This window comes from Homo sapiens, chromosome X (assembly GCF_000001405.40).
Source record: "Homo sapiens chromosome X, GRCh38.p14 Primary Assembly".
In the NCBI taxonomy this organism is placed as follows: Eukaryota; Metazoa; Chordata; class Mammalia; order Primates; family Hominidae; genus Homo; species Homo sapiens.
Window position 1 is genome coordinate 14,863,199 of NC_000023.11, and position 26,092 is coordinate 14,889,290.

At 36.2% G+C, this 26,092-nt stretch overlaps 2 protein-coding genes across 18 annotated transcripts in view, besides 1 other annotated feature; one reads left to right on the plus strand and one right to left on the minus strand.

The window, feature by feature from the left end:
• Positions 1-9,871, minus strand: part of FANCB (FA complementation group B) — a 183,546-nt gene extending 173,675 nt beyond the window's left edge. For 4 of the 15 annotated variants that reach the window (XR_001755672.2, NM_001410764.1, XM_017029356.2 and 1 more), the window contains exons 1-3: positions 9,788-9,871; positions 5,725-5,845; positions 1,362-2,382 (exon numbers count right to left, since the gene is read on the minus strand). Coding sequence is in view for 10 of the 15 variants with exons in the window: in NM_001410764.1 (NP_001397693.1) it covers positions 1,362-2,312 (951 nt within the window). In the remaining 5 variants the exon portion in view is untranslated. Of the gene's footprint in view, positions 1-1,361; positions 2,383-5,724 lie in introns of those variants that run through there. The other 11 variants (XR_007068184.1, XM_047441922.1, NM_001324162.2 and 8 more) reach the window with 5 other exon arrangements.
• Positions 9,961-10,190: a silencer, noted in NCBI's record as "silent region_20671". NCBI's record gives its function as "represses an Ori minimal core promoter by ATAC-STARR-seq in GM12878 lymphoblastoid cells {active_cell/tissue: GM12878}" and the evidence as "EXISTENCE:reporter gene assay evidence [ECO:0000049][PMID:35858748]".
• MOSPD2 (motile sperm domain containing 2) overlaps positions 10,223-26,092 on the plus strand; it is a 48,907-nt gene continuing 33,037 nt past the window's right edge. For 2 of the 3 annotated variants that reach the window (NM_152581.4, NM_001330241.2), the window contains exons 1-2: positions 10,223-10,339; positions 10,491-10,560. In NM_152581.4, the coding sequence (NP_689794.1) occupies positions 10,331-10,339; positions 10,491-10,560 (79 nt within the window). In that variant the 5' untranslated portion in view covers positions 10,223-10,330. Of the gene's footprint in view, positions 10,340-10,490; positions 10,561-22,092; positions 22,260-26,092 lie in introns of those variants that run through there. The other variant, NM_001177475.2, reaches the window with a different exon arrangement.

A 26,092-nucleotide genomic window follows, 5' to 3' on the forward strand; every position in this document is an offset into this window, starting at 1 on the left:
ATGATTCACATTTAAAAATGAATTTCAAACTTTCTAAAACATTTAACAATATTCCACATAGAGGTGATAATATAATGATAAAAATTTTCATTGAGCTTCTAATTAAATGGATAGGGCACACAAAATAAGGCAATATCTGCTTTTCTCTCCTAAGTAGCACAAAAACTAAAGTTGTATAGTGTACTACTTTTGGAAGAGACATTTCTAACTAGTAATGATAATTTGTCTTAATTCATAAACACTTCAAATCACATAACTGAATACATTTTCAACCAGGAGGATGCAACATTACCCAAAAATACAGAGTCAGAGAAATATTATTGGTGGAGACACCCAGTTACAAAACTCTAATTTCCTATTGGTTTTCTGTGCCTTTTTACCTGTTACTTAACACTCAATACCAGTGAATATTTTAGAACAATTTCCAAACTTAAAAAAGTGAATACTTGCTCAAAGGTCAGTTCTGCATTTCAAAATATAACATAATAAAAATCTCTGAGTAAGTTTTTAGAAAAAGTAATGCTTACCACTTGTCTATGGAGAACAATTATTTGTCTCTCCAGATTTCAAGGAATTTCTCTATATTTCACTTTCAGAAATGAATCAGAGACAACAAGTAAATTTAAATAGATAATTATAAATGTTTAAAAAGTTGGCCGGGCATGGTGACTCACGCCTGTAATCCCAGCACTTTGGGAGGCCGAGGCAGGCGGACCACTTGAAGCCAGGAGTTTGAAACCAGCCTGGCCAACATGGTAAAACCCCATCTCTACTAAAAATATAAAAATTAGCCAGGTGTGGTAGCACATGCCTGTAATCCCAGCTACTCGGGAGGCTGAGGCAGGAGAACCGCTTGAACCTGGGAGGTAGAGGCTGCAGTGAGCCGAGATCACGCCACTGCACTCCAACCTGGATGACAAAGCGAGACTCTGTCTCAAAAAAAATATAAAAAAATAAAAATAAAAAGATGAAAAACTGATTTGAATTTTCCAGGAAGGCTTATCTATCTAGTCAAATCACTAATAATCTTATTGTAAGTGAAAATGCACATCTACTATCATATTAATAAAAATTAGAAAGTTATAATAGAAAAATAAATACATAATTCTAGTTACATATGTATTTACACATTTCCAAACAACTCAAAGGCTTTATGACTCAAAATGGCAAGACAAAAAAAACACCATCAGGTTGTACTCAGATAACCTTAAGAAAAAAGAACAATGTAATATTTATCATTTCATGTACAGAACTGAAAATTGACTTAGACAATAAGACTCCAGAATGAACTCTATGAACTATACAAATGTTTAAAAGGTCTGAGACCACCAACTGAATTATTATTACAATAAGTGTTGTACCTGAAAGCTCTCTTTCCATACAGCACAAGCATTATTGGATATAAAGGATACAACGAAAAAGAGGTTTCCTCCACCTGAATCCATAAGTTGAACTGCACAAGGATCTCCAAATGGAAGCTGGCACACATTTTTAGGAGTTCCATTCTGAAATGAAATCAGCTGATTCTTTCGAGTAAGGGCAATGAGAGATATTCTTAACTGGTTTTTGATGATCTCAGTTGCACAAATATGTACATAAGTCACCACACTGCTGTAAGCAGGAGGAATAATGTATATATCACTTAATACTTCTTGACTTTCAAGAGAATATACACAAAATTTGGTATTCCAAATTGCATAATCTGATTTTGAAGGCTCTTGAGTACATTCTTCCTCAGATAAACAACATTCCTTTAGTCCCAATAAAACCATACCTAAATTTTCAATCTCCCCTGCCCACTGAATAGAGGAAAAGTTACCTGACACACTAACAACTTTGCCAGTTTGAGAAGAGATAAAGAAGAATGCTTTGACATGCCTCCATAAAATTAAAGGGCCATTAAGGACCCTTAGGCCATCCTTCATCTCATAGCCTAGTTTAAAACTCAAACGCATTTCAAATTTATTAGTACTGTGAAGGATTAGTAAAAAATATTCAAAAACATTATTCTTTTTATTTTTTTCTATCACAATGTAAGGGAGGTTAATTCCAGTTCTGAAATCTGACACACAGTTGCAACACATGATTTTTAAATGAGAGTTTTCTTCCTTTATGGTAAAAAATCCAGTGGACTTCTGAACAAATACTTTTGTTCCTCTGTCAAATACCATTCTTCTGACATGTAATATGGGTGTTTTTGTAGGCTCTTTATCTGCAAAATTTCCTTTAGACAACTGGAAAACAAGGACTTCCCCATTATAACACAAGAGCCTTTCTTGTTCGTTAGATGACATTGCTTGTTTGCTAGTCATTCCACAATATCAAGTCTTTGTGCTGATCTAATTTTCAAATGCAAATTGATTCCAGTTGATGTTTCTAAACCTAAAAAAGAAATGAGGAAAAACTGCCATGAAGTAGGAAGGGTTGAAAAGAAAACACGTTTCTGTTAGAGAACTACAACATAGGTAACTACACATTTTATTAAGTAAACATTTTAAGCTTTTTATACTATTTTGACAATATCATACTTATAAAAAAAATTCTAAATATTATTTCTGTAGACGCTTTAAAAAAGTTTGCTAAGAATTCAAATAACCATATCAAAAAAGATAACTGAATGTGTCAACGGCATATATTTAAAGCTTTAGATGCTCTATTAAAAGTGACTTCAGATATTTGTTCTGGCTCAGAAAATTGCTTAAGGGTTATACTTCTCTGTTTCAAACCTAACAACTCTAATGTGGTTTCCCACTCTCTGCCTTAGCCCCTTTAGAATGACAATTCAATTAGGGGTTTACTTGTCTTGCAACTCACTCTCCCCAAATACGTTGATTTTCAATTATACTTCTCCCACAGCCCAGGCAATTGGGCTTCTGCTTTCTAGAGACAGGAGCCTATACAGGCTCTAAGACAAAAAAGAAACCCCAGGAATAAAAATAGGAGATGCTGTAACAAGGCTTTAAAAAATCTCCATAGGATTAATAAAAATAAATCTTAGTTTACAAAGGCAATGCATTTGTATGCATTTGTATGACCCAACAAAGTCACTATTCTTATTCAAATTAGAAAAAATAGAGGATTAACATAATTTATTACAATGAACACAAGAATTAAATAATATCAATCATTCAAGCTTATTATATGGCAGGTACAATACATGCATTATTTAATTCTAATAACTATTGTCTTAAAATAAGTACCCTTATTATTCTACCTTTTAAGCAAGAAAGCCTTATTTTAAAGAAGATAAGAAAATTTTCCAAGGTTACAACACTAATCCACAGTTAACAGAAATCAGCAATGGTGCTAGTTTGGAAAAGGGGCCTTCTGACTCTGGAGTCTACACTTTTAACTACCACTCTGCCCTGGCATGCATTCCCTTATTCTGAACAAACTCATTGTAAGAAAGGTAACTTGAGAGAATTAGTAAAATAAAGGATAAAAGAATATCCTCAATATTGAACACATGTATAAAAAAAAGTTGTTGATATCTCTTTATTCAGTCTTCTATGAACTGCATACAAGAAATCCTAGCCAAAGCAATTAGGCAAGAGAAAGAAATAAAAGACATCCAAATTGGAAAGGAGAATGCAAAACTGTCCTTGTTTGCAGATGCCATAATCTTATACTGAGAAAACCCTAAAGACTCCACCAAAAAACTGTTAGAACTAATAAATTCAGTAAAGTCACAGGATACAAAATCAACATACAAAAATCAGCAGCATTTCTATTTGCTAAAAAGCGAACTATCTGAAAAAGAAATCAAGAAAACAATTCCATTTACAAAAGCTACAAAAAAAAATAAGATAACTAGAAATAAAGTTAACCAAAAAGGTCAATGATCTCTACAATGAAAACTATAATATACTGATGAAAAAAATTAAGATGACACAAACTAATGGAAAGATCCCATGCTCATGGATTGGTAGAATTAATACTGTTAAAATGGCCATACTACCCAAAGCAATCTATAGACTTAGTGCAATGTCTAGCAAAATATCAATGACATTCTTCACAGAAATAGAAAAAACAATCCTGAAATTCATATGGGACCACAAAAGACCCCTAATAGCCAAAGCAATACTGAGCAAAAAGAATGAACCTAAAAGCATCATACTACCTGACTTCAAAATATACTATAAAGCTACAGTAACTGAAACAGCATGGTACCGACATAAAAACAGACACATGGACAAATGGAACACAATGGAGAGGCCATAAATAAATTCATGCACCAACAACCAACTAATTTTTGACAAAGGTGCCAAGAACCACACATTGGGGAAAGGACAGTCTGTTCAATAAATGGTGGTGCTGGGAAACTGGATATCCATATGCAGAGACCAGACTCCTACCTCTCACCATATAAAAAATCAACTCAAAATGGATTAAAGGCTTAAATGTAAACCTGAAATTATTACACTACCAGAACAAAACATAGGGGAAACATTTTATGACATTGGGCTGGGCAAGGATTTTTTTAAATAAGATCTCAAAAGCACAGTCAACAAAAGCAAAAAGAGACAAATGAGATTACATCAAATTGAAAAGCTTTTGCCCAGCCAAAAAAAAAAAAAAAGTAAAGAGACAACCTACAAAATGTAAGAAAACATTTGCAAACTATACATCTGACAGGGGATTAATATCAGAATATATAAAGAACAGCAATATCCCAATATTTTAAATGGACAAAATAACTTAATAGACATATCTCAAAAGAAGACACACAAATGGTCAAAAGGTACACACACAAAAAAAATGCTCAATATCACTAATCATCAGGGAGACACAAATCAAAACCACAATGAGATACCACCTAATTTCAGTTTGAATGGCTATTATTAAAAAGACAAAGGATAACAAAGGTTGGCAAGCACGTGGAGAAAAAGGAACACTTACACACTGCTGGTAGGAAGGTAAATTAGTATAGCCACTATGGAAAACAGTATGGAAGTTCCTCAAAAAACTAAAAATAGTACTACCATATGATCCAGAATCCCACTACTGGGTCTATATCCAAAGGAATGAAATCAATGTCAAAGAGATGTCTGCACCCCCATGTTTATTCAGCACTATTTACAATAGCCAAAATATGGAATCAACCCAAGTGTCCAACAATGAATCAATGGATTAAAAAATTTGGTGTATATACCAATTTTTGGTGCATAGCGTGGAATACTATTAATACAGCCACAAAATTAAATGAAATCCTGTCATTTGTAACAACATGGGTGGACTTGGAAGACATCATGTTAAGTGAAATAAGCCAATCACAAAAAGACAAATACCGCATGATCTCACTAATAGCTGGAATCTAAAATTTTTTTTAAAAGAGTTGCTATCATAGAAGCAGAGAGTAGAATACTGGTTATCAGAGACTGGGGAAAGGAGAGAGGATGGGAGGATGGGGAGGGGTTGCTCAAAGGGTACAAAGCTACAATTAGATAAGAGGAATATGTTCTAGTGTCCTATTGCACAGTAGGGTAAAGATAGTTAACACTAAAGTGTAATTTATTACTTATTACAAAATAACTAGATGTTTTTGAATGTTCTTACCAGGAAGAAAGGATACATTCATGAGGGAAGGATACACTAAATACTCTGACTTGACCATTATACAATATATGTATGTATCAAAACATCAAATTGCACTCTCTAGATATATACAATTACAATGTGTCAATAAAAACAGGTAAATAAGAAAAAAAGAAGTCATTGGCTTACTGGTTTGTTGTTAGGCAATTAACAGAAAGATCTGGGACAATAGGCATCACAAAGTAGTTTCAGCTTCATCAGTAAAGAAGATAGGGTAGGTAAATCAAAGGTCTGGCTTGTACTTATGAAACTATGGTTTAGAGAAAATAAACATATTAGTTATATTCCATCAAAATGTATGAATAATAATGTATTTACCAAAGGTCCCATGTCAGGTTTCCTAGATTTCTAGAAAGGAAAAGCATGAAAATTACACATTCTGAGGTAAAGCTCTAAGAATTCATCATCTTTTACTACCTATTCAAAGTTTTTCAGATTTCTTAATATCAAAAACAAAAATCACCTCTGTATGAATTTTATTATTTTAATGTTAAATATCACAACTAATGTTTAATCAGTACAATGCTCTGGTTCACTTACCAATAACTTAAGTGTGATAGGAGTAAGGAAAACCTGATTATAAAATGGTCAGAATTTATGAAAGTTAGGCTCCTTACATTCTGTTCTTTAAATGTCATCATCAAGTTCCCTAAGTTAGAAACATCTATCTTCCAACTCTCTGTTCCAGTTGCCACTACTATAGTTCAGGCTGTGATCTCTCAGGCTGAGGTAAAAGCTTCTTAATTAGTCTTCCTTAATCTAATCTATCTTCCCTCCAATATATCAACTCATTTATGCTATTTAATACATCAGTTAATTGTTCTAAAACACACACTTGATCCTGTCACTGTCCACCCCCTAATCCAAAAGCTTACATGCCCCTTGCCTTTCTCAATAGACCTGTGATTCTTGAATTACTACCTGGAAAAATAGATGCTAAACACTGTGAATTGAACATATGAATGGTGTAGAGAAAAAAAGCTTGCAAATCATTGCTATGAAGCTTAGCATGGCATTCAAAACTCTGTTGTATAATCCTAATTCGACCTGCTTTCAATACGATCTCCAGGCAGAAAGCAAACTTATTCTCATGAACTTAAACTGATCTAAAAACATAAATGACTATTTATGACTATTGAGTGAAAAGTTTTTGCAAGACTTATTGAATTTACATATATGTGCATATCCACTATATTTTATACTGATGCAACATGTTTTCAATCTCATTTGTTTTTAATGTTTGCTATTTATTATATCTAAGTAATACTCAATCATTAAAATTTAATTCATTGCTAAAATGAATTTTAACTTTTTTCCCAGCTTTATTGAGGTGTAACTGCTAAGACAGTAGATATTAAGTATTGCTGCTGCAACATCTATTTTTAAAGTTCTTGGGATATGTTCATAAAACCTGCAGGCCATGAAATAACTGGCATTTAAAAAAAATAGAAACATATCTGGAAACAAATCAAACTAAGGTTCAATTTACAGGTTCTTAGTCCAATTATAAGCAACCCCTCACTATTTTAAACTCTGCTTATCAGGGCCCCAGGTTTACTATTCTAGCCTATGGGCTATTTGACTTTTTACTTATTAACATTATAACAGTGGCTGCAGAAGATACAGAAGTAACTAGGGGTGGCGGTGCGGGGCAGGGTGGCGGTGCGGGGCGGGGCGTGGAGACCAGAAAGTAGATTATTTATAAAATACTACATAATTAATTTGAGCTTTTCCTGTTCTATATTACCATACATCAAAGTTGACTATCTATTTTATACATAAAATTAAAACAGATGTGTGTGTATACTAGAAAAATGATAATATATACAAGCATATGCTAACATAAAAATAGTAGGCTGGCAATAAAATTATCATCCTCATCTACTCTTTACTGCCCCCCCTCTTAATAAATATGTTGTTCATTCTTTTTAAATGCTCATAAATCATTTTGGCCCTATAAATGTGACAATTCTTTAAATAAACTATCAGTGTGGTTCCAGATTATCCTAGAAGAGCAGATGACATCCAAAAAGTCTAAGAAACCATATTAACTGTGACCAAGAGAAAGTATCCTTGGGAAAAAAGTAAAATTAAGACACTCAACTAAAATGGCACCTAATAATACTGAACATAATTTTATGAAGATAATAATGATAGATGTTGTTTTTCCAAGACATATGACATTGTTAACCAAAGTAAATTAACTTTCCTACAAAATAGGGCCACTGTTAAAAGTTTTTTTCTCCCTACATAAGTTATTTATTGGGTCCTATACAGAATTGATCTCACCTTTTTCAACATTATCTAATATGCCTGAAATGTGAGTAAATGCGGGAGAATCGTGATCAACTAAATTAGAGGATTTGGGAAGATTACGCTAAAGAAGATTTTTATGTCATATTAAGGACTTATAAATTTCTCATATAAGTAATGATAACCCACTGAAAGACTTCAAAAACAGAAATCACAGGACTGTACTTTTGAGTTATGAAGATCCTGGTGACAGTGTTAAAGGTGTGAGTGAGATCAGACTGGAAAAAGAGCTAACAATTAGAAGAAAATTATGAGTACTTAAATAAAAGGGAGAGATGACTCTGAAGGTAATTTGGCAGTCAACTGAAATGCATATACCCAGTAGTTTCATTTGTAGATATAAACCCAGAGACATAATCCCACATATGAATGAATACATTGCTCTAGAAGCTCACTGTGCTGATATTTGCAATATAAAAAAAGTAAAAACCTCAATGAACACCAATAGGGGAATGAGTATAGATGGACTATCAAACAAGAGTTAAAAGGAATGAATTAGATCTATCTATCTATATATGTGTGTGTGTGTGTGTGTATATATATATATAATCATGGTTAAATTTCAAAAATAAAATGAATTAAAAATTAAGTTGCAGACAAATGTACACTGCAGCATATTATTTATGTAAAACAAATAAAACAGCATTATATATGTTCTATTTACCTACAATGACTACAGTCCCTGAGTGCTTTCTCAAGAAATAGTGCCATGTACTATTTTTTTTTTTTTTCCTGAAGAAACAGTGCCAGGTACTGCTCTAAGCACTTTGGATTAACTCGTTTCTTCCTCACAACATCCTTATGACATAGGCACTGTTACTATCCCATTTTATAGATGGAGAAACTGAGGCAAGGAGTTTCAGGATCTTCTCAAAGGCTTGCAGATAAGAAGTGACAGAGCCAGGATTCAAACCCAGGCAGTATGATCCAAAATAAAAAAATGTAAAACTGTAAACATTTCATGCCAAATTCTGAATGCTGTTGATTCTGGACAAGGAAGTGTCCAGGATAGGTGAGTAGAGGTAGAAGGAGACTTTAGTTATATCTGAAATATCTTTTAAGGATGTAGTCAAACAACGTTTAAACAATGTGTTCATTTTTTCCCATAAAAAATGTAAATATATTTAAAAGTCTAGGACAAAAGATGCTAACATGCCATTCTGTCATGGATGACTACGGTTGATGGAAATATGGGGGACTATTCTTACAACTTGTTTGTAGTTTTCAGTATCTTTCAACTTTAAAAAAGGCAATATTGTATGCGCAACTATTTTCTTTCAATTGTTTTTAACTGACGAATAAAATTTGTTCCAGTCCCTTTAAATCTAAATCTTTCTCAACCTTGACACTATTGACATTTTGGGCTGGATAACTGTTGTGAATTTTCATGTACACTGGAGGATGTTTGGCAGCTTCCCTGGTCTCTATCCACTAGTAGCCAGTGAGCATCTCTTTTGCCCCCGGCCCCTAGCAGTGGTGACTAAAAATGTCTCCAGAGGTTGCCAAAGGTCCCCTGGGTGGTAAAACCGCCCCCCCCACACACACCCCCCCACCCCCCCGGCTGAACACAACTACCTTAATAAGCCGAAACACGCTTTTTTTAACTTTATATAATTATTTGAGATTAAAGATTTCAGAGATATTTTGCTCATTAAGCATCTCACACTCCAAGTTGGAAGGATACTGAAGGGATGAAAAAAACTTCAAGCGAATGTAGCACTTAAAATCCAATTATCATTGCAAGGAATGACAGACCCAGGTCTCGGGATGCCCGCTTCCTTCCCTCTCTCCCGCAATGCGGGGACAAGGGGAGGAAATCCAGCCCCATCGCCCCCTCTGCGAAGTCCTGGGAAGGGAAGACTCGCCAGCCCCATCCTACCTCAACGCAGCGGCAACATACCGGAGGCCCCACGTCGATACGGTATCCATCTGCTCCAAACCTCCCGCCAGCGCGCTGCATCCTGGGAGGCCGGGCGGAGGCTGCGTCGAACGCAGAGGAGGCGGAGCCTAGAAGCCAGCCAGGAGAGGTGGCCAAGGGAGGCTGAGGAGGCGGGGCCCTGGGGAGTGTTGTGAAAGCAGAGAGCCCGCGAGCTCTCTAGGGCGGAGCTCCGCGGGGGAAGCGCCGGCGATCTCGCGGCTGGCGGGGGCGGGACCGCAGTGCGGGGGATGTCGCGGGGCGAGGCCAGACGAGAATCGAATGGGACCTAGGCTGAGGGCCTGGTCCCGCCTCCAGACCCAGGCGTCCGCATTGGATTGGGCGGTGCGGCGGCGCTTCTGTCCGCCTTCCGGTGTCACGCGACCGCCTCCCCCTCCCACCCTTCTCTGTCTACCTCTGGGCGGGACTGCCGGGTGATGAGATACTCGGTCGGCGACGGTAGAACGGGCGACGGCGACAACCGCAATCACATCCACGACGGTGATCATGGCAGAGGTGAGGAGCCTATTGCACCGCCGCTGGCCCCCCGGACCCGGAAGCCGCCTCTGAGGCCCGGGGACCGAGCGCCCGTGTGCAGGTGGGCTGGGTTGAGGGTAAGCGGGTTGATGCAAGTAGTATCTAAGGTCCCATCGTGTCTCCCATCCAGAATCACGCCCAGAATAAAGCCAAGCTCATCTCTGAGACCCGGAGGAGGTTCGAAGCTGAGTATGTGACAGGTGGGTACTCTGTTCCAGGTATTAAGAAAGGTGTGCAGTGAGCATCCCCAACTTTGCTGGAGTGTTTGTGAGTGTATTTGTGGGAGGTGTTAGGGACCCTTTCGACCCTCACAGGAATGATGCTGGGCACGTCTCAAAGGTTTTCCTCTCCATGACAAGCCGTGTGCACTGCTTCAAATGGTCAAGTGGTGTGTCCCATGCTCCCTTTAAAGGGTTAATGTAAGTTGGAAATCGGTTAAGTTTTTAGCATGCCCTCGTGTTTATGGAACTTGCAGGATACTTGTTAGGCCCACAACACGGGTGACATTGTCCAGTCCACGGTTCCACTGCTGGCCTTTCACCAGCAACACTAGCGAAAATGTACCTGGAAACTGCCATAATACTATTGATGTGTACTTAATTGGGTATACAAATTCCTTGGATATTTTGTTTGATTTGGCTTTCATACAACCCAGCATGCTACCCACAAAATAGGCCCTCCAATGCTGGAACAAGTTCTTATCCCAAACTGTATCTTGCAAAGTACCTATGAGTCCAGAATTGATTTATTGGTTGAACATTCTGTGTCCAGATGTCACAGATACTTGAGTTGTCAGGTACTTAACTGAATATTTAATGCTTGTACAGTAATTTTGTAAAACATACGGAATAACTTATTGTAAATATGGAATTAAATAAGGATTTATATGTTGCCTACCTTAAGATTGATTGTAATCCTAACCCTGCCACTACATAGCTTACTTGTCTATTCTGAGCCCGTTTTCATATCTGTGAAGTGCAAATAATAAAGTTAGTAGGATTAAATTTTTTAAAAAAACATAAACCATCTAGCATGTCTTAAAATATAGTGGATTCTCAGTGAATATTTTGCCTCAGTTGTCATTTTGGTTACTGTGAAAGGAGTTAAGCTTCTACATCTTGACTAGTACTCAGCAGAGGTTCCCTGCAACTTTAAACCATCCTAGATTATACATCAGTTGATGACATAGAACAAATATGGAAATCGGTTTCAAATACTTGTCAGTAAATCTTTTCATACCTCCTTGCCAATTTTCTTCACACCCCAAACTTTGTTCCAGAGAGTTGCAAAAGCACTTGATTCACTTTTCACCCAGAGTTCCCATTTCTAATAATATAGCTGGTTCCAATAAAGAGATCCTTCTTCAATTGCTTTCTACAGAAATGTAACTATTATAGCTGTTAATACATGGTTTATAATATTTTAAGAAGTAACTCAGAATTCGACCTAATGAGCTAGTAACACCCCAATAGTCATTTATTTATGCCCAAGGGAGGAAGCAGAATACAGGCAGAAATTAGGCAATAAACAAGATCTTAAAGGTCATCTTGGGGCAACCTCCTCATTTTTAAAATGAAGAAAGTGAGGTCTAGAGAGATTAAGAGATTTGCTCAAAATCCCTGATGTTATTGGCTAGGCCAGGACTAGTGCTCATGTCTTCTGATTTTCACTACAGTAATCTTTTGGCAATACCATGATGTCAAGTTAGATCATGTCACTCTCCAGCTTGAAACCCTTCAGTGCCTTTCCAACTGCGTTTAGAATAAAATCCCAATTCTTTATGGTGGCCTGTAATTCAAGGCCATGTGTGATCTGGCTCTTGCCAGCCCCCACCCGCCATCCTCATCTGTTACTACTCTGCTTGCTTAGTGCAGATTTGACCACCGTTCAAAGTAAGATACGTGTTATATGTTGCAACCCAGGACAAACGTGCACACTCACATAACTGAAGCAAAATTTCATTAAAGAATACTTCTGAAAACATGTGACTCTCGATGTATTTTTTTCTATTTGACTTCCTTTTAAAAAATGAAATTACCCACAAACTTAACATCACAATTTAAAATGTGACCCCCAGTTGAAAAACCACGACTAGCCACACTGCCTTGTGTTCCTCAAACAGAATGGGGCTGTTTCAATTTCGGACTTTTCCACTTCTCTTTGCCTGGGAAGATTTTACCCAGGTATTGCGCATGGCTTGGTCCTTTTTTCTCTTCAGTGTTTAAATGTATCCGAGAGGCCTTCACTGATTATTAAATGTCTCCGTCTTGTTTATTTTCTCTGCTTTACAGCCCTTATCGTAATCTGTAATTATCTTGTTCATTGGTTTGTGTGTTTTTCATTTCCTCCAGTAGAGTGTACATGGGTTCCGTAGCAGCCTATAGACATTGAGAGTAGAGGCCTTGTGTGTCTTACTCACCTTTGTATGCCCAGCACAGTTCTCAATATATACTTACTGAATGAATATAGCAATACTTAAATATATACATAAGAAGATTGGTCCAATTTTAAAGATTTGCATGGAAAAAGAAAATAGAAGCCTTTGAAGACCTTCTTACCTTAAGGTTTCAGTTGTTTCCTGGAATATGACAACAAATAAAGGTAGAATTGGAAAGTGATAATAAAAGGGGTGTTTTGTTTGTTTAATTTGCCTGTGTTTTCCCCTTAGAATTTGCTTTTAGAAATTAACTCAGGTGTTTAGAACATCCACTTTCCTTCTTTTTCTTTCACCCTTTCTATTGTCATTAACAATATTTTGTTTCAGAAGAGGCTGAAGGCAGACTTAAGCAAAGTTGATGTTTTTCCTAAAGGAAAATATTTATTTTCTGCAAGTGTGTCACTTCAAGCACAAACTGTATTCCAGAAATGCTTTTGGAGTTAGGTTCTTAGGAATCCCAAGCACATTTTTGTGTCCATAGAAACTAAGTTACCATTATGTATAGATTTTTAGCTGGCAAAAAGAATGAAGTATTAGCCCCTAATTATGGTATTTTTTTCCTTATTGTTTCTGAGAAATTCCATGCTGAATCTCAAATAAGAAACGTTTCCCATTCTTTCTTCCTCTTTCTCATGCCCAAGGAAAGAGACTAATCTCTTGTGACAATAATTTATTAAGTTCCTTGAGTACTCTTTATATGCCTAATTCTGGGAAGCAGTGTATCAGTATTAGAGAAAGAGCGGAGGAAGGGTAGAGCCCCTTCTGAAACTACTACAACCTAGTAGAGGCATTAAAACAGAGATAGCTATTAAAATTAAGGCAAATTGTATTAAGGGTAATGGTGCTGAAATATTTTCTGTAAAAGTCAAAGAGAGAAATAACATCTGGCTGGGGTGACTAGTTTAGCACAGAGTTAGAAAAAAATTCATTAAAAAGGTGGTGTTTCTCATGAACTTTGGAAGATGGTAGAACTCAGCCAGGTAGAGAAGGTGATCCAGGCAGATTGAATAGTCTGAACTGAGGCACTGAGGTCAAAAGGTATGGGGCATGTTCCAAAGTAATAGGAAGTCTACTTTGATAACCTTAAGGAGGGTAAGCACACATGGCTAAATACAGTGGGAATATAGTGTAGAGAGCCTTGGGCACCAGAGTCATGTGTTTGTACTTTAGTTAATATGGAGAGCCATTGAGAGGTTTGTGTGTTTTGTAATTAGGTTTGTTGTCTGGCTTTACAAGTATATGAATTCATTTAAATTAATTTGGGTCATACCAAAAATATCTGAAGAAACCCCCATAAACTTACCATTCAGAGATAGGTGTCATAACAGTGGATACATTGTTTACAGTCTTTTTTCTTTTTTTTCGAGACGGAGTTTCGCTCTTGTTGCCCAGGCTGGAGTGCAATGGCGTGATCTTGGCTCCACACAACCTCTGCCTCCCGGGTTCAAGCAATTGTCCTACCTCAGCCTCCTGAGTAGCTGGGATTACAGGCATGTGCCACCATGCCCAGCTAATTTTGTATTTTTAATAGAGATGCGGTTTCTCCATGTTGGTCAGGCTAGTCTCGAACTCCTGACCTCAGGTGATCGCCTGCCTCGGCCTCCCAAAGTGCTGGGATTACAGGCGTGAGCCACCACGCCCGGCCTACAGTCTTTTTTCTATACACTTAAGAAAACAAAGTTAGAAGACTATTCTGGGTTGGGCGCGGTGGCTCACGCCTGTAATCCCAGAACTTTGGGAGGCCGAGGCGGGTGGATTATGAGGTCAGGAGATCAAGACCATCCTGGCGAACACGGTGAAACCCTGTCTCTGCTAAAAATACAAAAAAAAAAAAAATTAGCTGGGCGTGGTGGTGGGCACCTGTAGTCCCAGCTACTCGGGAGGCTGAGGCAGAATGGCGTGAACCCAGGAGGTGGAGCTTGCAGTGAGCACAGATCACACCACTGCACTCCAGCCTGGGCGACAGAGCAAGACTCCATCTCAAAAAAAAAAAAAATTCCGTATATAATTTTGTGTATTATAAAATACATTTTTATTGACATGATTTTATTTCTCCGTATTTATGAAGTAAGCAACATTGTATATTGCCATTTAATATTTGGTTCTATAAATAAAAGATAGTTTTCTTATCTTTTGTCTTAGATAGTCCCTTTGTGGACATTTAGATTCTTTCCAGTTTCATTTAATACAGTTTTTTGTGCAGTAGTTGAGATTATTTCCTTAAGATTCATGTTCAGAAACTGAATTATTGGTTTTAAGAGTGTTTATATTGTTCAGGCCTTTGCTCATATGTGCTAAACTTCCTCCATGGAAGTTGCACCAATATTCATTCCTGCCGGCTTGTAGGAGAGTGTTAGTCTTACCACACCCTTACTCATATTTAGCGTTGTTATTTCTTAACTGATGGTTGTTTTAGTTTGCTTTTGATTGCTAATAAGGGTAAATTATTTTCATGCATTTACATCCATTTGTAGTTTAAACATTTTTTTATTAGTATGACTTTTAATATTGGTCTGGGCTTTTCTTGTTTATGTCACTTTCACTTTTTTCAGTTTTTGAATATATTCAAAATTACCCATTCCTTTGTGGTTTCTTCTATGGCTATTAAGTTAATAGGTTGGTGCGAAAGTAATTGTGGTTTTTGCCATTAAAAGTGACTTTCTAGTCTTTTAATTTTTGTTTTGTTTTGGTTTACTATTTTTTTTCTTCTTTTTTTATTATACTTTAAGTTCTAGGGTACATGTGCACAACGTGCAGGTTTGTTACATATGTATACATGCGCCATGTTGGTGTGCCAACAGTTTACTATTTTTTAATTTTGAGTTTTGGAATTCTGTTTATGTACAAAATGTATAAAACGTGAATAAAATAAACACTCATGTGCTCACTACTCAGCCAAAGAACTAGAGCCTCCCAGTACCTTAGAAGCCTCCTGTATATACCCATGCCTGCTATTCAGGGAACAGTTTTCTGCATTTGGTGTTACTCATTCTCTTACTTCTCATTAAATTTGCAACCTATGACATATTCCTCACCAGTACTTCATTAGGTTTTGCCTCTTTTTGAACTTTATATTAAAGCTGAATATATTTTTTCATGATTTGCTTCTGTTGCTCAAAATTCAGTTATATTCTCAGATATGACTAATTTATTCCTTTTTATGGCTGTGTAGTAGTTCATAGAATAAATATACCAATTAATGGGTTTGGGGTTGTTTCTAGGTTTTTGTATCATGTACAGTATAGCTATGAACATCCTTATACATGTCTGGTGCACACGTGCAAGAATTTGTCTTGGGCAGTGGTTCTCAAAGTTAGTTCAAGAACTGGGGTTCCTTGAGACGTTGCAAGGAGTTTGAGAGGTTAAAACTATTTTCATAATACTAAACTACCATTTTCCTTTTTCACCTTCATCCTCTCACAAGCGTATGGTGGCATTTTCCAGAGGCTGGGTGGCATGTGATGATGACATTGTTCTGATGGCTGATAGACTGTGTGCTTTATGTTCTCATGTCTAATTCTTTTTCTCAATTTTCATACCTAATACAGTAACTAGCAATAAATATAACCCATATCAACAAAGAAACTTTTGGGGGGTCTGCAATTATTTTTAAGAGTGTAAAAGGTGTCCTGAGACCAAAACGTTTGAGAACTGCTGCTCTAGGGTTTGTTTCCACCAGTAAAATGAGTAGGTGGTAGAATAGGCACATTGTTTCACATTCAACTTCAGTAGGTAATGCTGAACTGTTTCCCAAAGTGATTGTACCAGTTTTCATTTTAACCAGCAGTATTTGGGCATCCTTGTTTTTCTACATCCTAAAAATAGGCACTGTAACTTAAAAAAAAATTGCCCATCTGATGGGCATGTTGGGAGATCTCATTGTGGTTTTAATGCCTTTGAATACCAGTGAGATTGAGCTTTTTTTTTCATACCTTTATGGGACCTTTGGTTTCTGCTTCTGTGAAAATTACTCCTTCCAACTCTTCTTGGCCCTTATTTCTTCCATGTAAACTTCAGAATCAGCTTATGTTTCTGCAAAACAAAACAAAAACCACTTTTGTTGGGATTTCAGTGGTATTATGTTAAATCAGAATATAATTTCATGGAAGTTGACATTATCATGGTTGAGTCTTTTTATCCAAGAACCTGGTATATATTTGTATCTGCTAAAGTCTTCCTTGTTGAAAGATTTATCATTTTCCTTATAGTGGTTAACACAGTCTTTTGTTATATTTCTTCCCAAATACTGTATGTGTTTTATTTTTGTTGTTGTTATTTAAATGGTATGTCTTAATATATATTTTCTAAATGATGGTTGCTGGTTTATGGGAAATATATATGACTTTTTTCCATTAATATTGAATTTACTCTTATAAATTCTGATAATTTACCTGGGATTTTTTTATGTACATAATAACCACCTTGAAATATTGATTGTTTTCTTTCTAACTTTCCAATTCTTAAATCTTTCAATACTTTTCCTTTACTACATTGGCTGGAACTTTTATAACACTGTTGAATAGAACCAGTGATAATAGCCTACTTATCTTATTCCTAATGATAGAAAGATAGCTCTGAACATGTCACCATTAAGTATGATCTTTGTATATACCCTTTATCAAAGTGAAGACATTTTCTTCCACTTTTGGTTTGCTAGTTTGGGTTTTTTGTTTGTTTTGTTTAGTTCCCATCATGATTGATGATTGAGTTTTACCAAATGCAGTTTCTTCATCTGTTGCACACATTTATTATATTTGATGACATTTTGATTTGGTTTTTCTCCTTTACTGTGTTAATATGGTAGATTACATTGATTAGGTTTTTAAAATAAATTGCTAAATTCTGTTTACTAATAGTTTAAGAATTTTACATTTGTATTCTTGAATTGGCCTATAATTTTCCTTTCTAGTGTTTTTCTTGTGCAATATTGACATCAAGATTATCTAAGCTTCAGAGTGAGTGTTACCTCTTTTCTATTCCCTATAAGATATATTGATTGTTTAGCACAACCTAATTCCCCAAATTCACCACTCCCCCAATTTGTTATTGTTGTTTTATATATCAGTGTTTGTTTATCTACCATATATTTACTACTATTTTGATTTACCCTTTCTTCCTGAGTTTCAGATCTTGTATCCTGGGTCATTATTGTTTCATCTAAAGTATAACCTTTAGATTTCTCCTGGTGGGATCTGTTGGTAGTAAACTTTCTTGGTCTTGAAAATAGCTTTATTTTGTCCTTTTTTTTTTTTAATTAAGCAATTAGCTTTGAGGAATGCCTTCATTTTGTTAGGCTGAAGGAGACAAAGTGGTTAGAGAAGTAGGAGAACCAGGAAACTTTATTATTGTAGATAACAAAAAAAGGAGAATTTCAAGGACAGGAAGATAAGCAGTAAATGGAAAAAACTCCTGTAGGGTAAAGGGAACATATAACAGGGATTGTCCTTATTGATTACTCTTTCTTGAAAGGAAAATGACATTTAAAATGTAACTATACTACTGGAGAGTTTGCCTATGTGTCTAGACTATGAACCACTCAGGGACCAGCTCAGGCTCCACTCATCTTTGCATCTGCAATACCTGGCTCTTTTAGGCTAGCATGTGGCAGGTGATCAGAGATTAGTGCTCATAGGTAATGAGTTATTATTATTTCCAAGTGAGGAAGCCTTTAAAAGATTGATAAATAAACAGACACACTTGGATTTGCTTAAATTCTACTCCATCATTAACATTCTCAAGATCAACCTTTTTAAAGTTGTCATCATCAGAATAAGAGGAAAAGATCTTAAGAGGTTATCAGATGAATGGATAAAGAAAATGTGGTATATATGCAACTATAAAAAATGATGAGTTCATATCCTTTGTAGGGACATGGATGAAGCTGGAAACCATCATTCTGAGCAAACTATGGCAAGGACAGAAAACCAAACACCGCATGTTCTCACTCATAGGTGGGAATTGAACAATGAGAACACTTGGACACAGGGTGGGGAACATCACACACCAGGGCCTGGCATGGGGTGGGGGAAGGGGGGAGGGATAGCATTAGGAGATATACCTAATGTAAATGACGAGTTAATGGGTGCAGCATAATAAAAAAGAAAAGAAAGAAAATGTGGTATATATATACAGTGGAATACTATTCAGCCTTTTAAAAAGAAGGAAAGCCTATCATTTGTAGCAATTTGGGTGAACTTGGAGGACATGGTAAGTGAAATAAGTGAAATAAACCAGGCCCAGAAAGACAAATACCACATGATCTCACATAAATGTTAATGTTTTAGATTTTTAACATTGAACTCACGCAAGTAGTGAATAGAATGTCAGTTACCAGGGGCTGGAGGGGTGAGGGTTGAGGCGGGAGATTCAAGAGATATGAGTCAAAGGAAACAAAATTTCAATCAGACAGGAGGAATAAGTTCCAGAGATACATTGTACAACATGGAGACTATAGTAAATACAATGTATTACATACTTGAAAATTGCTAAGAGTGTAGATTTTAAGTGTTCTCAGTACAAAAATAAGTATGTGAAGTAATGCATGTCAGTTAGCTTGATTTTGCTATTCCACAGTATATAAACATCATGTTGTATACCATAAATATAATTTTTGTCAATTAAATTAATTTTTTAAAAAGTTACCAATTTTTGTCCTTATTACATATCTAAAAATATCAAGACTGCTTTGGAGAATATCAGATTGTAACTTCACATTGGAGACCAAATTTGGTAAACCTATTTATTTTTGAATGTTTCTTTTCAGTAATGACTTTTTGCAATGCCTGATGAATGTTCTTGTTTTTTTCTTTTTCTTTTTTTTTTTTTTACTCATCTCTTTAAGTTGTTTATACCTGTTCTTCATATATCCTCATTCTGAATGGTTAGGGAAATGTGCAGCTCTAAAGAATCTGTTACTAGGTGCTGGGCGCTGTGGCTCACGCCTGGAATCCCAGCACTTTGGGAGGCCAAGGCGGGTGGATCACAAGGTCAGAAGTTCAAGACCAGCCTGGCCAAGATGGTGAAACCCCATCTCTACTAAAAATACAAAAATTAGCCGGTCGTGGTGGTGGGTGCCTGTAATCCCAGCAACTCGGGAGGCTGAGGCAGAGGATTGCTTGAACCCGGGAGGCGGAGGTTGCAGTGAGCCAAGATCGTGCCACTGAACTCCAGCCTGGGCAACAGAGTGAGACTCCATCTCGAAAAAAAAAAAGAGTCTGTTACTAGAATACTGTCATTTCTAAGATGTGAATTTGTTTTTAGTCATTGTCATTTGGAAAGCTTGCATGAGAGGAGTGGTCTGTTTACCAAATCTACTGTGTGCTCTTGATAGTAGTACTCTATCATATGAATGTTTTTCATTACTGAAAATTTACCCTCTAACAAGAATTTTGGTTTGATAAGATCTCTAGGAGATTGAGTAGTGCTCACAGAAATTCCTAAAGGATTTTTTCTTCCTGTAGCCATTTTGCAAGGAATAGGAGGACAAAAATTTGCTACATTTCAATCAAAACTAGTTTAAGCTGAACTTGTAGTGACTATAAAGATTTGGCATATATGTGTAGAATTTTCTTTGATATTAGATACTAGTACTTACTAGCTGGGCCATGATTTGCAGAAGCTTTTCTTTACCCATTATACTGCTATATATTCACAACTGACATAGGACATTCACAGACTATTTTAAAGTTTTTCTACAAGTACTTACTCTATACCCAGATCATTGGAGGAAGAAAACAGATAAAAATGTGTAAGGAAAAATAAAAGGCATGAGAAACACAATATACATTTAATCAAACTTCCAGAAGGAAAAAAAGAGTGATATTAGAAGAAATAATCATTGACAGTTACCCAGAATTTATAAAAGATATCAAATCCTCAGATTAAAGAACCATAAGAAAATCTGAGCATCATAGGGAAAAAGAAATTAATCTCAATGCTTATTTTAGTGAAACCAAAAAACACCAAGGACAGAGAAAATCTAACAACCCAAAGAGAAATGACACATCCACAAAGAAACAAAAATCAGACTGATACTTGATTTCTCATCAGTAACAGTATTGCCAGGAAACAGTGAAATAATTTTCTGAAAGTGCTGAGGGAAATAACTGCTCACTTAGAACATTTATTCAAAAGTGAAGGTAAAACTTTTTAGGCATGCAAAGATTGACCATTGCTGGAAAAAAAAAAACTACTTGTCTACTTCACTAATAAGTAAATAGTACACCAAAGGAAGCAGAGGGATGCAAGAAGTAATGAAAAGCAAAGAAATGGGTAGGCAAATTAGTAAATAAAAAATCTAACTGTGGATAGTAAGAAAAAACAAATAATAATAAGAGTAGAAGAAATGGAGGTAAAGTATTACAAGGAACTTTCAGAATGAGGATAGAGATACTAACTGCAGATTTTGTTGTTTTCAGTGTGAATACTTAAAATAAGGGTAATCATTGAAAGATAGAAATAAAATGTTTGACTTCCACACCAGTGGAGGAATGAAAAGGGGAATGGAGGAAAAGTCCTCTCCAGGAAGAAGCAGAAAAGGAGAAAAAAAGCAGCTTGGTTACCAGAAAACACAGAGGAAGACAGCAGAAAGAATTCCAACTTTATCAATAGTTACTATAAATATAAACTGATTTCTGCATATTAGATATCAGATTAGATTTTTAAAGATCTTAACTGCATGCAGTCTAAAAGAGACTAACCTAAAATAAATTAATGTAGAAAGGTTGAAAATAGATGGAAAAAGATATACAAAACAAATATTAACCAAAAGTAATGTTGTTTCAGCAGTACTTTAGGTAAAATGTTACTTAGGGTGAAAGACATTAATACATATAAAAAGGGATACTATTTGTGATAAAAGGAACCGTAAAAGGGTATAACACCTAGGAACTAACAACATAAAAAACTACCTAACCATATAACCTTAAAATACTCAAAGCAAAAAGCACCCAGAATCATAAGGGGAACTCAAGAAATCTACAAACATGTTGAATGATTTTAACAACCCTCTTTCAGAAATAGAACTAGCAGGCAAGAAATATTTAAGATTTAGAAGATTTTAACACTACAATGAGCAAATTTGATTATACATATATATGTATGTGTGTATGTATATGAGTATATAGACTCTCCTGCCCAACTAGTACAGAATATATACTTTTTGAATATATATTTGTACTTTCAGAGCTTTTGCAAACATTCACCACATACTAAGTCATAAAGGGGGTCTCAGAAAATTCCAAAGAAGCTACATCATACAGACCATGCCCATACATTATTAAGCAACTACATCAGAAGTCACAATAATAGGTACTTAAAAACATGTCATATGATAGGAAACTAGAATAACACACCTCTAAATAATCCATGGATTACCAACTTCTCAGCAATGGTGTAAATTCTTCTGCTAAATAACCCGTGGGTTAAAGAGGACATCACATTGGAAATTCCAGAGTACTTAAAGTTAAGTGTATCTTCTAAAAACCTACAGCAAATGTGATGTTTAATTGGGGAACTTTAGAATAATTCCTATAAAGTCAGGAAAAAGACAATGATTTCTGCTATTATTTCAATAACTCTACATTATATAGGATAACTTAGTTATGAACGTGGCAGGAAAATATGAGGTATAAAGTTTGCCAATCTTGTCATAGGCTTATGATAACAACACAAAATCCTCTAAACTGCCTAATCTAGCAAAGAAATGTAAGGCTTTTATGGGAAGATTAAGGGTAACTTCAGCTTTATCTATGACATTCTAGTCCTTTTATTAAAAAAAAAACTGAAGCGAATAACTTAATATTTGTTAATTTTGGGTTACAGCTACATAAATATTTGTTAACATTATTTTCTATTCTATAATTTTTTAACTTTTCAAAAGGGAAGGAAATAAAACAGTTTATTAGTGAAGTTCTGGGTCCTCAATGAACTCAAGATCTACTAGGGGATAGACTTGTACATGGCTAATCATTCAGTAACAAAGATTTAGCATGTACTTACTGTGTATTGGGCAGAGTTGGAGGGAGCAGGGTGTGACTTTTCAAAGTCCCTGACTTCATGGAGCTTATTAGAGGAGACAGCATCAGTCCGACTCCTCTCATGCCATCCCCTATTTGAGGAGCTCCTCTCAAAATGACTGACTCTTACTATTATCCTATTAGTTTTGATGAAATTGGGTTTACATTCTCCCATTTGACCAAAATGAGCCAAGGGAATGATTGTAGATAGTGTGCTTATGCGAAGACCTTGAGGCAGAGTCTGTAATATACAGGAATAGACCAAGGTCCATTATATCTAATTAACCTGGATAACTGGCTGGTGACTGATGAGGACCTGGAGAACAGTTTTGAAAGTTTAGCTTTGTTTGTTCAAGTGTACTAAGGAATCCAGCTCTTGAAGGATAAGAACTGAAGCAGAAAGCACCTCCCCTTTTTAGAGTAGACCAGAGATCAGCAAAGTCTTGTTTTTGTATGACCCTTGAGCCGAGCCTTTTAAAGGGTTGTTACATACACACACATACACACACACACACACACATGCACGCACACACACGAGAGAGAGAGAGAGAGAGAGAGAGAAATCAGCAACAGAGAATATAATAAGAATATAATATGGCCCTCAGAGTCTTAGATATTTGCCATCTGGGCCTATACAGAATAAGTTTGCCAGCTCCTGCAGTAGAACAACAGTTCTCAAAGTGTGGTCCCTGACCAGCAGCATCAGCAGTATGTAGGAACTGGTTACAAATACCAATTGTCAGATCCCACCCAGAATTAGACAGTCTAGGGGTGGGGCCCAGTAATTTCAGTTTTAATAAGCCTTCCTAATCATTCTGATATGTGCTGAAGTTGAAGAATCACTGCTATAAACCAATGGCTTAATCCCATTATAAAAGATTACCTGTCTCTCAGTCTCACCAGTTTCACAAGAAAGTGGAGATTCAGAATAGGTTGTGGCCAACTAGCAGAGAATAATCTTGAAGGAATATTTTGTTCTTTTGTCTTGATCACACCCATTACTGACATTTATGCAGTCCAGCTAATAGAAATAGTCCATCCAATACGAATGCTCTCTTAATGCCCCAGAAGGACTTTCAGTGGATCTATGCTCAGAGTCATGGAGAAATAAGAGATCCTAAGATGTTTTAAACTACTATAATGATCTAGAGTTATATGTTTGCTGCTTTGGAATATTAACTGTTCTCTAGTTTTCGTTATTAGAATACTTTATATTTTTTCAACCTTTATCTGAAATTTAGGCACATTTGTAACAACAATGTACTTCCAAGATTTTCCTTACTGGTAAACTAATAGGTAAATTTAAATTTAGTCTTCTTTTCATAGTTAGCATTCTATCGTATGTTGATGGAAAGTCATTTGTATAGTGTTTAAGTTTTTCAGTGTTCTTGATCTTTCTGAGACTGTAGGTAGACAGACCTCATTTTCATTTTACAGAGAAGAATAGAAAGCCTAGAGTGACTTGCTTAGCTTCACTATACATAGTGGCATGGGTCTTCCAAGTCCATCATTCTACTCTATATCCTGAATGTGGCCAGAAATTTTCTCACATTGTTAGCCTTAAAACACAGTTTCAGACCTGTTGGTAACATCACTGGCCAACAAATGCAAGAGAAAAAAAGAAAAGTTAATAATAAAGTTTGCTATTTTACAAGTAAGAGCTATAGTTTCTTTATCTTACAATTTTTAAAAAATTTTATTTTTTTATTTAAAAAATTGTGTGTGAGAGAGAAACAGTGAGTGAGAGAGAACACACATATGCATGTGTATGGAGAGACATGAAAAGCTGAGACAGGTCATCTTTACCTTGGAATATTTAATACTGTGTGTTCCTAGAGACATATCACCATTGTCATGTATCTTTAGTTCTTTCTCTCCCAAATAATGGACTTTACAATTTGTTTGGTGGTAATACACTTGTATAAATAGAAGAACAATTTACAGAGCAAAATTCATATTAGAACAAATAAATAGTAGAAAGGGCCAATGAACCATAGGGTGCTGATAGTTCATTAAGAAGGTTTCTTCATGAAGGATTGGCTGAAATTAGCTATTTTAAAGAAATACAGAGATGAGGCTTAAAAATCCACCACTTGGAATTACTGTTGTTTTTGATGTGGTTTTCACTGGTATTATGAGACAAGCTATCATTTGTGTATGAGGACAAGTATTGGGAGAATATATACACACACACGCACACACACACACACACACACACACACACACACACACACACACCTTTTTATAAAACTGAACCCTTCTGATATGGTTTGGCTCTCTCCCCACCCAAATCTCATCTTGAATTATAACTCCCACAATTCCCATGTGTTGTGGGAGAAACCTGGTGGGAGGTGATTGAATTATGGGGGCAGGTCTTTCCTGCGCTGTTCTCATGATAGTGAATGAGTCTCACGAGATCTGGTCGTTTTAAAAATGGGAGTTTCCCTGCACAACCTCTCTCTTTGCTTGCCACCATCCATGTAAGACATGACTTGCTCCTCCTTGCCTTCTGCCATGGTTGTGAGGCCTCCCTAGCCATGTGGAACTGTAAGTCCATTAAACCTCTTTTTCTTTCCAGTCTCAGGTATGTCTTTATCAGCAGCTATTATGAAAACAGACTAACACAGTAAATATATATATCTATCCTATTAGTTCTGTCCCTCTATAGAACCCTGAATAATACACCTTCTTACCCTCATCTCTACATTTTAATTGTTGATAGGTAAAGTTTTTCAAAAAAATGTCCTAGGGGTGTGTGTGTGTGTGTGTGTGTTTGTGTGCATGCATGTGTGTTTTTATATCTTTAGATAATCTTTTGGGTGTACATCTTTAGCATCTTTCTGTAACATCTTGTCTTAGTCCGTTCTGTGATGCTGTAACAAAATACCTGAAATTTCATCAGTCTTAGTCCGTTTGTCTTGCTATAAAGGAATACCTGAGGCTGAGTGATTTATAAAGAACAGAACAGGGTAATTTATGAAGAACAGAAATTTATTTTCTCAGTTTTGGAGGCTGGGAAGTCTCCGATCAAGGTGCCAGTACTTGGTGTCTAGTAAGGGCCTTCTTGCTGTGTCCTCCTGTGACAGCAAGTGGAAGGGCAAGAGGAGGACACTGCCGCATGAAGCCTCTTTTATAAGGGCCATAATGCCATTCATGAGGGAGGAACCCTTATGGCCTAATCACCTCTTAAAGGCCCTACTCTTAATCCTGTCACATTGGCAACACCTGAATTTAGGAGAGGCTTGCTTCAAACCATAGCACATCTGAACTTACCCAAGG